Here is a 1,358-nt window from a genome sequence, read left to right as displayed (position 1 = left end):
CTCAGTATTAAGAAACTCACTCAACACTGCTCAACTACATGGAAACTGAACAACCTGCTCCTGAATGACTACTGGGTACATGATAAAATGAAGGCAGAAATAAAGATTTTCATTGAAACCAACGAGAACAAAGACACAACATACACATTCAAAGCAGTGTGTAGAGGGAAATTTATAGCACTAAATGCCCACAAGAGAAAGCAGGAAAGATCCAAAATTTACACCCTAACATCACAATTAAAAGAACTAGAAAAGCAAGAGCAAACACATTGAAAAGCTAGCAGAAGGCAAGAAATAACTAAAATCAGAGCAAAACTGGAGGAAATAGAGACACAAAAAACCCTTCAAAAATTAATGAATCCAGGAGCTGGTTTTTTGAAAGGATCGACAAAATTGATAGACCGCTAGCAAGACTAATAAAGAAAAAAAGAGAGAAGAATCAAATAGATGCAATAAAAAATGATAAAGGGGATATCACCACCGGTCCCACAGAAATACAAACTACCATCAGAGAATACTACAAACACCTCTACGCAAATAAACTAGAAAATCTAGAAGAAATGGATAAATTCCTCGACACATACACTCTCCCAAGACTAAACCAGGAAGAAGTTGAATCTCTGAATAGACCAATAACAGGAGCTGAAATTGTGGCAATAATCAATAGCTTACCAACCAAAAAAAGTCCAGGACCAGACGAATTCACAGCCGAATTCCACCCAAGGAGGAACTGGTACCATTCCTTCTGAAACTATTCCAATCAATAGAAAAAGAGGGAATCCTCTCTAACTCATTTTATAAGGCCAGCATCATCCTGATACCAAAGCCAGGCAGAGACGCAACCAAAAAAGAGAATTTTAGACCAATAGCTTTGATGAATGTTGATGCAAAAATCCTCAATAAAATACTGGCAAACCGAATCCAGCAGCACATCAAAAAGCTTATCCACCATGATCAAGTGGGCTTCATCCCTGGGATGCAAGACTGGTTCAATATAAGCAAATCAATAAATATAATCCAGCATATAAACAGAACCATATAAACGAAGGGACATTTGATAGCCCTTTGGGACCTATGAGGAAAACTGAATATCCCCAGATAAAAACTACAAAGAAGGTACCAGTGTAACTGCTTTGTGATATGTGGATTCATCTCACAGAGTTAAAAGTTTCTTTTGATTCAGCAAGTTGGAAACACTCTTTTTGGAGAATCTGTGAAAAGACACTTGGGAGCCAATTGAGGCCTCTGTAAATAAATGGAATATCCCCAGATAAAAACTAGAAGGAAGCTATCCATAAAACTGTTCTGTAATTTGTGGATTCATCTCACAAAGCTATGCCTTTTTTGATTCAGCATGT

This window comes from Homo sapiens, chromosome 8 (genome assembly GCF_000001405.40).
Source record: "Homo sapiens chromosome 8, GRCh38.p14 Primary Assembly".
Lineage (NCBI taxonomy): Eukaryota > Metazoa > Chordata > Mammalia > Primates > Hominidae > Homo > Homo sapiens.
Note: the sequence above shows the minus strand (reverse complement) of the source record.